This window comes from Homo sapiens, chromosome 17, assembly GCF_000001405.40.
Source record: "Homo sapiens chromosome 17, GRCh38.p14 Primary Assembly".
Lineage (NCBI taxonomy): Eukaryota > Metazoa > Chordata > Mammalia > Primates > Hominidae > Homo > Homo sapiens.
The window spans coordinates 66,096,247-66,111,475 of NC_000017.11; the positions used below are offsets into that span (position 1 = coordinate 66,096,247).

General features: G+C 36.3%; 1 protein-coding gene across 18 annotated transcripts in view, besides 1 other annotated feature; it reads right to left on the bottom strand.

Annotated features, from left to right (window-relative positions):
• CEP112 (centrosomal protein 112) overlaps positions 1–15,229 on the bottom strand; it is a 556,597-nt gene that overhangs the window by 460,710 nt on the left and 80,658 nt on the right. For 10 of the 18 annotated variants that reach the window (XR_007065281.1, XR_007065280.1, XR_007065282.1 and 7 more), the window contains 2 exons: positions 339–386; positions 5–85 (listed from right to left, as the gene is read on the bottom strand). The exons of 2 other annotated variants lie outside the window; for them this stretch is intronic. Coding sequence is in view for 13 of the 16 variants with exons in the window: in XM_047435528.1 (XP_047291484.1) it covers positions 5–85; positions 339–386 (129 nt within the window). In the remaining 3 variants the exon portion in view is untranslated. The remainder of the gene's footprint in view (positions 1–4; positions 86–338; positions 387–15,229) is intronic. 6 more of the 18 variants (XM_047435529.1, NM_001199165.4, XM_047435530.1 and 3 more) reach the window with 1 other exon arrangement.
• Positions 14,446–14,983: an enhancer, noted in NCBI's record as "NANOG hESC enhancer chr17:64106810-64107347 (GRCh37/hg19 assembly coordinates)". NCBI's record gives its function as "activates a minimal SCP1, AML or CMV promoter by ChIP-STARR-seq in primed H9 embryonic stem cells {active_cell/tissue: H9 hESC(primed)}" and the evidence as "EXISTENCE:reporter gene assay evidence [ECO:0000049][PMID:30033119]".

Here is a 15,229-nt window from a genome sequence, read left to right on the forward strand (position 1 = left end):
CTACCTCTTTCTCACGTATTCGAGAGAGAAAATGATCATCATGGAAACTGCTGGATTTTCTCAGGCTGAATTTCGGTGTCATCTGCTAAATGAACAGGAGTTATTTAACATGTTTTCAGATCTGGTTTATCCTTAACCCCAAAGAAAACTTCTAAATTGCCTGAGGCCCGTACCAAAATAGTACTAACACTGCAGGAAAAAATCACTTCCAAGTGATAAAATTCAAAAACTATTATGTTTCCTAATGTAGATCCGCATTATTTTCTATAAATAACTTAGTGATTATTTTATTTTAAAATACCTGCCCCTAGAAAAAGTCCAATGGATTTCTCACATACCAGAGAAACTGGGATAGGCTTCTGTCTCAGGTATCGAGGATTTTCTATCTGAAAATTTAAAAATAAAACAAAATAAGGATTTATTAATTTTGGAGTTTTAATTATTATTTGATAAAATATAGAATTAAGCTGCCATATGAAACATTTTCTAGATTCTTAATATTTAATTCATTTTTAGAATGGGTATTGTATGATATATTTTTAGCGGCTCCCTACAAGTAAAATATAAAACATAAACTCCCTTGCATGCCAAAATGAACCTTCATGATCCTCTCACTGCCTAACTGCCCACTCTCATCTTCCATTACCCTTCACTTCACATTTTATGCTCCCAGGATCCACAATGATTTATATTACCAGAACATGGCAGATGTTCTCATGCCTGTCCACCTCTGAATTTCTCTGCCCAGCCCTCCAAACCCTGTAAGCACACACCTATTTGTTCTTACAGTCGCAATTTAATCACTGCACTCCCAGATGTATTTGGTACATGAATTCTTAAACATACCTTTCTAATAGCAAAGAGAACACAAAATTCCTTTGGGACTCCCCCTAAATCTCCCTTTCAGATTCATCTATCTTCACCATACCCCACATTCCAAGGACACCAGACAATTTGTTTTAACTTAAAAGCACTATACTGTCTCCCATGTCTGAGTCTTTGCAACCTGTAAGATCATTCCCCCAACTTCTACACATGGTTAACTTACTCAAGACTTGTAGTTTAAAAATCATCTCCCCCAGGAAACCTAGTTCCTACTACTCCAGTAGTACCCTGGATGCTAGTTCCCTTTTACAATCTGGCATCTCCCTGTTTCAAAACAGTGTGGACTCTGAAAGCAGAGACCATGACTGCCCTGTTCACCACTCTATCCCTAGCACCCAACTCAGTGCCCAATTAATATTTCTTCAGAAAGAAGGAAGAAACAAGAGGAAAGAAAGGAGTAACCTGTACCTGATTCCACCTTCTTATCAGCTCCTAAAGTATCCTATGTCCACTCTCTCATAGCCCTTATGTAATACTTTGAGTGTTTATCAGTATGTCTCCACATCTGTCTTTGAACAGAAGGAGTACTGGGATGACATCTTCTCAGTTTTGTATCTCTGGGACCTAGCACAATATCTAATGTATAGTAGCCTTTCAATAAAGTATTTATTGCATGAATATACTATATGATAAAGTAGACATATTGATAGTTATCTCTACTATTTCACTCACAAATAAAGTGATAATTAAAAATCTCTACCGTGAAAGTCTAATTTCTTCATATCACAAACCCACAAATTACTACATGGATAATCTCACAAAGTACAAGAACACAAACTATCACTTCAACCTAGGGTAGTGGTTCTTACACTTGTTAAATTAAGATTCATCTAAAGCTGCCTCCTCACATATTTTTAATTCAGCCTAAAGGTTTCTCCATTCATGGTGAACTGTAACCTAACTGGATGTGTAAACAGACTACAGCTTACTCTTGTGCCACTCACTGAGTTTTGGCAATTAAAGGCAATCAATCGTTCAAACCAGATTCAAATAAGGCAAACGCAGAGCTGTAACCAATCCTGCTGTTTCTGTACCTCGCTTCCATTTTGTGTACATCACTATCCTTCTTCTGTCCATAAATCTTCAATCATCCAGTAGTGCTGCAGCCTCTCTGAACCTATTATGATTCAGGGGCTGCCTGATCCATGAATCATTCTTTGCCTACTAAACTCTGTTCAATTTAATTTCTTTAAGGTTTTTCTTTTAACATCCTGGAGTGTACTATGAGGATCAAGTGATAAACATTTCAAATATAAATTATTGGATTCTAGTTCTCCAAAATCCCATTGTGTTTTCAAAAAGTTCCCCAAACGATTTATTACGGTTAATAACTCTTGAAAATGAACAATCCATACCCAATTTGACAATAAAGATAACGGTGAATGAAGAATCAATTAATCAAAAAATGTAGAAGTCATAACATTTATAATAGAATCCAATCAAGTAAAACTTAAAAGGAATATAGCAATAGACAGGATATAAAGTATAATTATTTTAGCATCTAGGTTAAAGGAAATACACAAAACAATTTTCTTTCGTGTGGACGCCAGATCCTATAAAGTAATGGCAACTGTATGAATTTAAATGTCTCTCCCCATCCTCCAAAGACACATACAGATTGATAAAGAGACCAAATAAAAATGCCCATCATCCATGACTACATCATAAAAAGGAGAAAGGGAATACAAATCCCTGGATTAACATGTAGGTGGCCAAATAAAGATACCAAATCAGCAGAATTAGATCCTGAGCCAGAGTGGTAGCATGGGGAAAAAAGGAAGTACCTCAGGGTCCTAGTAGTGGTGGAACTAAATATCATCAAATACTGACCTGTCAAAGAAAAGTGGCCTACCTTAAGTGGGCCACACAAAAAAACTTAATGGCTCAGAGTGCCAGAGATGGGCACAAAACAAGGGGCTTGGAAACTATGAAGAACCAGAAAGGCAGTTCTAGGAAGGAATCACTTCTGAGGTAGAGAGAAGCACCTTTGAAGGAAGGTTGTTCATGATAAAGGGAGATAAAAAAGCAGCTGAAGATAAGGGCCCTGCAGAAACAAGACAGAATCAAAGAATCAAAAGAAGACAAGCCATGGCCAGGAGCTGTGGCTCTTGCCTGTAATCCCAGCATTTTGGGAGGCCAAGGCAGGCAGATCACCTGCAGTCAGGAGTTCAAGACCAGCCTGGCCAACATGGTGAAACCCCGTCTCTACTAAAAATACAAAAATTGGCTGGGCTTAGTGGCAGGTGACTATAATCCCAGCTATTCAGGAGGCTGAGGCAGGAGAACCTCTTGAACCCAAGAGGTGGAGGTTGCAGTGAGCTGAGATCATGCCACTGCACTCCAGCCTGGGTGACAAGAATGAAACTCTGTCTCAAAAAAAAAAAAAAAAAAAAGAATAAAGAAGACAAGCCAGGCTGACAACCACAAAAGGCACCATTTGTTAAAGAAGTTAAACTTCAGTGTAGCAGAGGAGGAGGGCTGTCCAGAACTAAGAAATAAAGTAAGCCACCCACTACCACTTCCCACACAATCACTGGCTATTACTTGTTCAGAAAAATCTAACAGATAATCATGAACAGAAAAAAAGAATCCAATATCCACAAAAACTTACTATATAAAATAGAAGACCAAAATCAAAACCTGCCAGCAGAAGGAAACACTTTTTTAAAAAGCTAAAATACAGGAAAACAGTAATACAGGCTTCCTTTTGATTCCCATATCTCCCCACTCTCATACACCAGGGTTTTTGTGCAACCCACTTAAAATAGGACGCTCTCCTACATGTCAATACTTAATAATATTTTTGTTCCACCACCACTAGGACAACAGGTATTCAAATATAACTTTTAAATAACTTCAGGCATAAAAATACTACAAATCAAAATAAAGACAAAAATACAAAGATGTTAAATAGGAGGTGACTAGATTCAGGAAAAAAAAACATGGAAGAGTAACAAAAATCATCCAAGAAATGAAGACTAAATTAAGAGTTGTACAAGAGAGAGGCTGGACATGGTGGCTCATGCCTGTAACCGAGGTGGGCGGATCACAAGGTCAGGAGATCGAGACCATCCTGGCTAACACAGTGAAACCCCATCTCTACTAAAAATACAAAAAAATTAGATGGGCGTGGTGGTGGCAGCCTGTAGTCCCAGCTACTCGGGAGGCTGAGGCAGGAGAATGGCATGAACCCTGGAGGCGGAGCTTGCAGTGAGCCAAGATCACGCCACTGCACTCCAGCCTGGACAACAGAGTGAGATTCCCGTCTCAAAAAACAGAAAAAAAAAAAAAAAAAGAGTTGTCCAAGAGAGAAAAGATAACTATAGTAACAGCAAGAGATAAAGATAGGACCTGAAGCCAAAAACCAGGAAATAAAACTGACATAAAAACGTGTTTAAAAAGGATCCAAGAGAAATGGATAAAGAAAATGAGAAACAAGAATACAATAAATGTATAATTGGATTCCCTGAAAAAAATAAAATAAATGCAACTAAATATTTTAAATTATTAAGAAAATATTCTTAAATAAAATAATACCTGAATCATATTAAATACTCTCACTCTTTACCTTGGAAAACTGACCTAAGACCATCGACTGAAACATAAACAGATGGCCCTCCATATTCATGGCTTCTACATCTACATATTCAACCAACCAAACTGAAAATATTCAAAGTAATAATTAGAAAACAAGAAAACAGTACAGTATAACAACTATTTCCATATCATTTATATTGTATTAGGTACTATAAGTAATATAGAGATTATTTAATGATTCATAGGTTATGTACAAATACTGCACTACTTTATCTAAGGAACATCAGCATTTGCTGATTTTGGTATCTGTGGGAAGGAAGGAGGATGTTCTGGAATGAATCAACTCTTGATACTGAGAGATGACTGTACAATATATTGAATAAAATCCGATGTGATATGCCGAATATCTTTCAGAGTATAATATAAAAGTCCAAATATTAAACTTTACGAATATTTTTTAAAAATTCTCTGGACCCTCAGTCAAAAAGATTAGACATTTATAACTTTATTTATTTATATATTTATGAAAAATGAAAAGTATGTATCACACTTCTCAACTGTAACATACATCATATAAAACATTGTATTTAAGGAACTCAGGTAAAGAAAATGCAAATCAAATATTTTACATACAATCTAGATTTCCTCCAAGAATCAAGACCATAAGAAACCATTTGAAACATGCAAGAATTCAGAAAATACTGTATCACAAGGTCCATTCAGTAGACTCTATTAGAGCATGAACATTTTATCTTAGTTAAAAGATAATCAAGAGGGAAAAAAAAGATAATCAAGGAACCTTCAGTCAAGAGACTGATGCTTCCTGATTAAGTATTATAACATCTGCAATTTACTTTCAAATAGTTCCAATAAGGCAAAATCACAAAATTTAAAAGGCAGCAGCAATAAGTTACTGTTGTACTATTCTTTTTCTACTTGAATATTTTCATCATAAAAATTGTAAAAAAAAAAACTGGTTTCTTTAACAAGATAGCATAAACCTAATTGATAATTATCTTATATTTTGATTTTGGGAAACCAAATACTATTGATTAGTCCAGTTAAATGGCAGTTTCTGATTACTGTATAGTTTAAATACATGCTGGAAAAAAATGCTTTTTAAATAATGTTAATTCTGAGAAAAAAAAACAATCATGCTGAGTTTTTGTGGAAAGACACTGCAAAAAACTTAGTGGTTATTTCGGACTAGCTAAATGAAATCACCATGGAATTTAAAATAATACAAGCTATTAGATAGAAGCTATAAATGTATTTTAGAAAGAAGAGATGGCTATTTTTTAAGAAAAATGTGAAAATTATTTTGTGTAGATTAAAAAACATCAAGCTGAGAAAAGTTTCACCATCTCAACAGTTATTTTTCCACCTTATATAGATAAAAGCATGGTAGTTTTGAGAAGACAAAAAATCTGAGAGTACATAAGTAACTAGAAAACAATATCAGAGATCCTTCAAAGAAATAATTTCTTGTGTCACACCTGGGGTTATGTCATATTCTTTCAACAATTATTTACTAAACATCTACCATGTGCCAGGTACTTTGAGAGACGTTTATGACAAGCTGTGAGAAAAAGAACTGTAAACACCTGAAAATAACACCTGATGGAAACTCTACATAAAGTAATAAATAGGCCATAAATGGTAAATGGTTGCATAAATAGATAAGGCTTTTAATTTTATATTTTCAATCCATTCAATCAATATATAACTATTTAAAGGAAAATGAACAAAAACATAATATAATGAAAATAATATATTGTGGAGTTTATAACATTAATAGATTAAAGGAAGAAACTATATAATCCTCTCAAAAGATAAAGAAAAATTCAGGCCAGGCATGGTGGCTCACGCCTGTAATCCCAGAACTTTGGGAGGCCGAGGTGGGCAGATCACAAGGTCAGGAGATCAAGACCATCCTGGCTAACATGGTGAAACCCCGTCTCTACCAAAAATACAAAAAAATTAGTCGGGTGTGGTGGCGGGCACCTGTAGTCCTAGCTACTCGGGAGGCTGAGGCAGGAGAATGGCATGAACCTGGGAGGCAGAGCTTGCACTGAGCCGAGATAACCCACTGCACTCCAGCCTGGGTAACAGAGCGAGACTCCATCTCAAAAAAAAAAAAAAAAGAATTAAAAAATTCCACAACCATTCATGATTTTTAAAAATATCCTGACAAAATAGAGACATTTTTAATTTGATAAATGGAATCTACCAAAAAAACTATAAGTAAGAAAAAACTACAAGTATGAAAAACTAGCCAGGTGTGGTGGCTCACGCCTGTAATCCCAGCACTTTGGGAGGCTGAGCTGGGCAGATCACCTGAGGTCAGCAGTTCGAGACCAGACTGGCTAACATGGTGAAACCCTGTTTCTCCTAAAAATACAAAAAATTAGCCAGGCATGGTGGCGTACGCCTGTAATCCCAGCTACTCGGAAGGCTGAGGCAGGAGAACTGCTTGAACCCAGGAGGTGAAGGTTGCAGTGGGCCGAGATAGTGCCATTGCACTGAGTGAATAAGAGCGAAATTCCATCTCAAAAAAAAAAAACAAACCATGAAAAACTGAAAGCATTCCCTTTAAGATTGGGAATGATACAATGAGTACCACCCACTATGAACATGCTCCTATTCAACACTGTAGTGGAATCCTAAACAGCATTTTTTTAAAAAAGATAAGAAAAGGAAAAAGGAGGAGGATAGAAAGAAAGAAGAGGGTACAAGATTAGAAAGTAAAAACTAGAACACCTCATCATTTGCAGATACCTACTTACATAGAACTCTATAAATGAATAAATAAACAAGTAAATAATAGAACTAATAAGAGTTTGGCAAAGTTGCCAGATGCCAAACCAACATATAAAAGTCAACTGCGATCAAAGAGGCAGAGCAAAATGTTCAAATAGAAGCCTTTAGCAATTTTCCCCGCAGCATGAACATCAAATTGAACAACTATTCACATAAAAAAGCACCTTCATAAGAAGAAAAAATCAGGTGAGTGATCACAGTACCTGGTTTTAGCATATTAAGGAATGAGATGCCAAAGAAGGTAGGAAAGACAGTCTTAAATCACCTGCATCACCCTTCTCCTATCCCCCAGCAGTGGCTACATGGCATGAAGAGAGAATCTGTGTATTTGGGGAAGGAAGAGCACAGTGATTGTGGGATTTTGCATTGAAACTCAGTGCTGCCCTGTCACAGCAGAAAGAAACAGCAGGCAGAATTCAGCTTGCACCCACAGAGGAACATTTAGACCAACCCTAGCCAGAGGCAAATCATTCATCCCAGCAGTCGGAACCTTAGTTCTAGCGAACTCCACCACCACCATGGGCTAAAGTGCACTGGAGTCCTAAATAAACTTGAAAGGCAGTCTAGGTCACAAGGACTGCAAGTCCTAGGCAATCTCTGATGCTGTGCTGAGCTCAAAGCCAGTGGGCTTGGGGGTGCATGTGACATAGTGAGACACCAGCCAGGGTAGCCAAGAGAGTGCTGGTGTCACTCCCAGGCAACACAGTTTGCAGCTCTGAGAGAGACTCCTTCACTCTGCCTGAAGAGAGGAGAGGGATGAGTAAAAAGAATTTTGTCTTGCAACTTGGATACCAGCTCAGCCACAGTAGACTATGGCACCAGGCAGAGTCCCAAGGCCCCCAGTCCAGGGCCTAGCTCCCAAACATTTCTAAACACACACTGGGTCAGAGGGGAACCGACTACCTTGAAAGAAAGGACCCACTCCTGGCAGAATTCATCATCTGCTGACTAAAGAGCCCTTGGTCTCTGAATGCTCAGCAGTGACAGCTAGGCAGTACTTGCGTGGGCCTGGGGTAAGACTTAGTGTCATGCTAGCTTCAAGAATGATCCCGCACATTCCCAGATGTGGTGTCTAGGGGAAGAAATCCCCTCAGCTTGAGGAAGGGAGAGGGAAGACAAAAGGGAACATTGTCTTTCACCTTTGGATACCAATTTGGCCATAGTAGGGAAGAGCACCAAGCAGGCTCCTGGGGTCACCAATTCCAGGCCTTGGGTCCTGGTAGGCATTTCTGGCAGCAGACTTCTCAGTGGAAATGTAACAGGCCAAAAGAGAGGGGCATGACATATTTAAAGTGCTGAGGAAGAAATGCTTTTATCCTGGAATAGTATACCCAGCAAAAATAACCTTGAGGGATTTGATCAACACCAGACCTATCCTACAAGAAATGCTAAAGGAATTTCTTTGATCCGAAAGGAAAGGACATTAATGTGCAATAATGAATCATCTAAAGGTATAAAGGTCACTGGTTATAGTAAGTATTATACTTAGTAAAGTAAGTATATTACTATTATAACACTGTAATTGTGGTGTATAAACTACTCATATCTGAAGTAGAAACACTAAAAGATGAACCACTCAAAAATAATAACTGTAACAATTTTTCAAGACATAGTGTAATAAGATAGAAACAACAAAAAGTTAAAAAGTGGGGGGATGAAGCTGAAGTGTAGAGTTTTTATTAGTTTTCTCTTTGCTTGTTTATGCAATCAGTGTTAAATGATCAGCAGTTTAATATAATGCGTTAAATTACATGCACATTTCATGCTAACCTCAAACCAAAAAACCTACAACAAATGCACAAAAAATAAAAACCAAGAAATTAAAACATACCACGTGAGTAAATGGCTTTCACTAAAAGGAAGACAGGAAGGAAGGAAAAAGGAAGAGAAGACCACAAAACAACCGGAAAACAACTAATAAAATGGCAGGAGTAAGTCCTTACTTATCAATAATAACATTCAATTTAAATGAACTAAACTCTCCAATCAAAAGACATACAGTAGCTTAATGAAAACACACCTGGGCCAGGCACAGTGGCTCATGCCTGTAATCCCAGCACTTTGGGAGGCCACGGTGGGCAGATTGCTTGAGCTCAGCAGTTCAAGACCAGCTTGGGTAACATTGTAAAACCCCGTCTTCACAAAAATTCCAAAAATTAGCTGGGCATTGTAGCGTGCACCTGTAGTCTCAGCTACTTGGGAGGCTGAGGTGGGAGGATGGTTTGAATCCAGGAGTCAGAGGTTGCAGTAGCCAAGATCATGCCACTGCACTCCAGCCTGGGTAACAGAGCCAGACCCCATCTCAAAAAAATGAGCCTAATAACTATTTACAGAACATTTCATCCAAAGGATGTAAACATTCTTCTCATCCACATATGGATTATCCACAAGGACAGACTGTATGTTAGGCCACAAAATAAGTCTTTAAAAACTTTTTTGAATTTAAATTGCATCAAGTTTTATTACCTCTGACCACGAGGTAATAAAACTAGAAATCAATAACAGGAAGAATTTTGAAAACTATACAAACACATGGAAATTAAATATGCTCCTGAATGACCCATGGGTCAATAAAGAAATAAAGAAGGAAATAAAGAAGGAAAATTTTCTTGAAACAAATAAAAATGAAAATACAACATACCAAAATCTATGGGATACAGTAAAAGCAGTAGTAAGAGGAAAGTTTATAGCAAGAATTATCAATATGAAAAAGGTAGAAAAACTTCAAATAAACAACCTAATGATACATCTTAAAGAATTAGAAAAGCTAGAGCAAACCAACCCCAAAATTAGTAGAACAGAAATAATAAAGATCAGAGCAGAAATAAATGAAATGAAAATTTAAAAAACACACAAAAAATCAACAAAACAAAAAGTTTCTTCAAGAGATCAAATCAACAAGCCTTCAACCAGATGAAGTAGGAAAAAAAGAGAGAAGATTCAAATAAATAAAATCAGAGATGAAAAAGAGACATTACAACTGATATGGCAGAAATCAAAAAATCATTAGACGCTACTATGAGCAACTATATGCTAATAAATTTGAAAACTGAAAAGAAATGTATAAATTCCTAGACACATACAACCTACCAAGAGTGAATAAGGAAGAAATCTAAAACCTGACCAGAACAAAAACAAGTAATGAGATTGAAGCTGTAATAAAAACATCTCCCAACAAAGAAAAGCCTAGGACCCAATGGCTTCACTGCTGAATTTTATCGAAAATTTAAAAAAGAACTAATATCAATCCTACTCAAACTATTCCAAAAAACAGAGGAGGAAGGAATATTTCCTAACTCATTCTCAAGGCTAGTATTACCCTGATACCAAAACCAGACAAAGACACACCAAAAAAAGAAAACTACAGGCCAATATGACTGATGAACATTGATGCAAAAATCTTCAACAAAATACTAGTATACTGAATTCAACAACACATAAAAAAAAATCATTCATCATGACCAAGTAGGATTTATCCCCAGGATGTAAGGATGGTTCAATATAGGCAAATCAATCCATGTGATAAATCATAACAACACAATGAAGGGCAAAAACTGTATGAACATTTCAATTGATGCTGAAAAAGCATTTAATAAAATTCAGCGTCCCTTCATGATAAAAACCTTGAAAATTCTGGGAAAGAAGAAACATACTTCAGTACAACAAAAGTCATATACAACAGACCCACAGCTCATATCTATATTGAACAGGAAAAACTGAAAGCCTTTCCTATAAGATCTGGAATATGACAAGATGCCCACTTTCATTACTGTTATTCAACATAGTACCGAAAGTCCTAGCTAGAGCAATCAGACAAGAGGAAGAAATACAGGGCATGCAAATTGGAAAGGAAGAAGTCAAATTATGCTTGTCTGCAGATTATATAATCTTATATCTTAAAAAAACTTAAAGACTACAACAAAAAACTATAAGAACTGACAAACAAATTCAGTAAAGTTGCAGAACACAAGATCAACATACAAAAATTAATAGCATTTCTATATGCCAACTGCAAACAACCTGAAAAAGAAATCAACAAATTAATTCCATTTACAATAGATACAAATAAAATAAAACACCTAGAAATTAACTTAAATAAAAGAGTGAAAGATCAGTACAACAAAAACTATAAAACACTAATGCAAGAATTTGAAGAAGACACAAAAAAATGAAAAGATATTCCATGTGCATGGATTGGAAGAATCAAAATTGTTAAAATGTCCATACTACCCAAAGCAATCTACAGAGTCAATGCAATTACTGTAAAAATACCAACAACATTCTTCACAAAAATAGAAAAAAATAATACTAACATTTATATGGAACCAAAAAAAGACTGAGAATAGCCAAAGCTATCCTGAGCAAAAAGAATAAAACTGGAGTAATCACATCACCTGACTTCAAACTATAGTACAAAGCTACAGTAACCAAAACAGCATGGTAGTGGCATAAAAACAGACACACACACCAATGGAGTAGGATAGAGAACCCAGAAGTCAATCCATATATTTACAGTGAACTTATTTTTGACAAAGATCACAAGAATACATATGCTGGGGAAAGGATACTCTCCTCAATAAATGATGCTGGGAAAGCTGGATATCCACATGCAAAACAATGAAATTAGAGCCCTATCCCTTGTCATACATAAAAATCAAATAAAAATGTAGGAAAAACTTAAATCTAAGACCTCAAACTAGGAAACTACTAAAAGAAAACACTGGGGAAACTCTCCAGGACATTGGAGTGGGCAAAGATTTCTTCAGCAATTACCCCACAAGCACAGGCAACCAAAGCAAAAATAAACAAATGGGATCTTGTCATGTCAAAAAGCTTCTGCACAACCAAGGAAACAATCACAAAAAATGAAGAGACAACCCACAGAATGGGAGAAAATATTTGCAAAGGAGCTCAAACAACTCTATAGGAAAAAAACCAATAATCCGACTTGAAAATGGGCAAAAGATCTGAATAGACATGTCTTAAAAGAAGACATATAAATGTCAAACAGACATATGACAAGATGTTTAACATTACTGATCATCAGATAAATGCAAGTCAAAACTACAATGAGATATCATCTCACCCCAGTTAAAATGGCTTCTATCCAAAAGACAGGCAATAATAAATGCTAACAAGGATGTGGAGAAAATGAAACCTTTGTACAGTGTTAATAGGAATGCAAATTAGTACAGCCACTATGGAAAACAGGGTAGAGATTCCTCAAAAAATTAAAAATAGAATTAACATATGATCCAGCAATCCCACTGCTAGGTATATACCCAAAAGAAAGGAAATTAGTGTATCAAAGAGATATCTGCATGCCCATCTTTGTTGTAGCACTGTTCACAATAGTGAAGATCTGGAAGCACGCTAAGTATCCATCAACAGATGAATGGAAAAAGAAAATGTGTTACTTACACGTAATGCAGTACTATTCAGCCATAAAAAAGAATGAGATCCTGTCATTTGCAAAAACCTGGATGGAACTGGAGATCATTAAGTTCTGCAAAATAAGCCAGGAACAGAAAGACAAACTTGACATGTTCTCAATTATTTGTGGGAGTTAAAAATTAAAACAGTTGAACTCTGCAGATCGACAGTAGGATGATGGTTCACAGAGGTTGGGAAGGATAGAGGGGGTTGGGGAAAGTGGGGATGGTTAATGGGTACAAAAATATCGTTAGAGAGAATGAATAAGACCTAGTATTTGATAGCACAATAGGGTGATACAGTCAAGAATAATTTATTGAACATTTTTAAATAACTATAAGAGTGTAATTGGATTGTTTGTAACACAAATGAAGGATCGATGTTTGAGATGACAGATACCCATTTATCCTGATGTCATTATTATGTATCATATGCCTGTTATCAAAATATCTCATTTACCTCATAAATATACATACCTACTATGCTCCCATACAAATTTAAATTTTTTTTACATTTAACATGTACCCTAAAACTTAAAGTATAATAATAAAAAAAAAATCAACTGCATTTCTGAAATGAGTAAAAATCATCTAGGAGAAGAGTTTACAAAGATATAATTTCTAATATACTGCATAATTCCTAGATAAACTGACAAAATGATACCCTAGACCTTTATAGAGCAAATAAGCTTCATCAAAAGATTAGGGCTAAAGACTGAAAAAAAAATAGAGAGTAGAATCCATTTTGGACAGTCTCGATGTTGCAAAAAATGTCAATTCTTAAGTTGATCTAGCAATTAAATGTGATCCAAACCAGAATTTCAACAGGGTTTTTGTAAAACTTATAATGACCTTACAAAATGTATATAAACAAAAACAGGGCAAAAGTAGTCAAGACATGCCTGATGAAAAAAATCAAGGTGGGGCAATTGGCAATTTATAAAGATATAATAAAACCATCCGGGCATGTTGGCTCACGCCTGTAATCCCAGCACTTTGGGAGGCTGAGGCGAGCAGATCATGAGGTCAGGAGATCGTGACCATCCTGGCTAACACGGTAAAACCCCATCTCTACTAAAAATACAAAAAATTTGCCTGGTGTGGTGGCAGACACCTGTAGTCCCATCTACTCAGGAGGCTGAGGCAGGAGAATGGTGTGAACCCAGGAGGCGGAGCTTGCAGTGAGCCAAGATTGTGCCACTGCACTCCAGCCTGGGTGACGAGCAAGACTCCGTCTCAAAACAAAACAAAAAAACAAAAAGTTAGCCAGGCGTGGTTGTACACATCTGTACTCCCAGCTACTCGGGAGGCTAAGGCAGGAGAATCACTTGAACCTGGGAGGCGGAGGATGCAGTGAGCAGAGATTGCGCCACTGCATTCCAGCCTGGCAATGAAATGAGACTCTAGCTCAAAAAAGAAAAAAAAAAGAAAAAAAAAGAAAAGAAAAGATACAATAAAACTATAGTAATGTAGACAAACCAATTGAACCAACTGGAAATTGGCAGAAAGAAACTCAAGTATACTTATTTGATAATGTGATTTGTGAAAGGTCTAGCATTGCCAATTTTTGAGAAAAGAAGGGAATGTTCAATAAATAGAAGAATATAAAATCAGATCACTTCCTCACACCATATATAATAAATTCCCAATGGATTCGATCTTATATTAAAAGCAGAACTACAAAAACTTTCAGAAGACAATTTAGAAGAATGATGTTATGGCCTCAATCTAGAAAAGATTTGCCAAACAAGAAATGAAAAAAAAAAAAGCATAAATACAAAAAATCAACTCAAGATGGATTAAAGACTTAAATGTAAAACCCAAAACTATAAAAACCCTGGAAGAGAACCTAGGCAATACATCCTGGACATAGTCCTAGCAAAGATTTTATGACAAAGACACCAAAAGCAATTGCAACAAAAGCAAAAATTGACAAGTGGGATCTAGTTAAACTTAAGAGCTTCTGCACATCTGCACAGCAAAAGAAACTATCAAGAGAGTAAACAGACAACCTACAGAATGGGAGAAAATGTTTGCATCTGACTAGGGTCTAATATCCCGCATCAATAAGGAACTTAAACAAATTTACAAGATAAAAACAAGCCCATTAAAAAGTGAGCAAAGGACATGAACAGACACTTCTCAAAAGAAGACATACACGTGGCCAACAAGCATACGGAAAAAAAAGCTCAATATCACTGATCATTAGAGAAATGCAAATCAGAACCACAATGAGATAAAATCTCACACCAGTCAGAATGGCTACTATAAACAAAATCAAAAAATAACAGATGCTGGCAAGGTTGTGGAGAAGAGAACACTTATACGCTGTTGATAGGAATGCAAATTAGTTCAACCATTGTGGAAAGCAGTATGGCCATTGCTCAAACAGCTAAAAGCAGAATTACCATTTGACCCAGCAACCCCATTACTGCATATATACCCAGAGGAATATAAATCATTCTACAGTAGAGACACACGCGAATGTTCATTGCAGTACTATTCACAATAGCAAAGACATCGAATCAACCTAAATGCCCACCAATGACGGATTG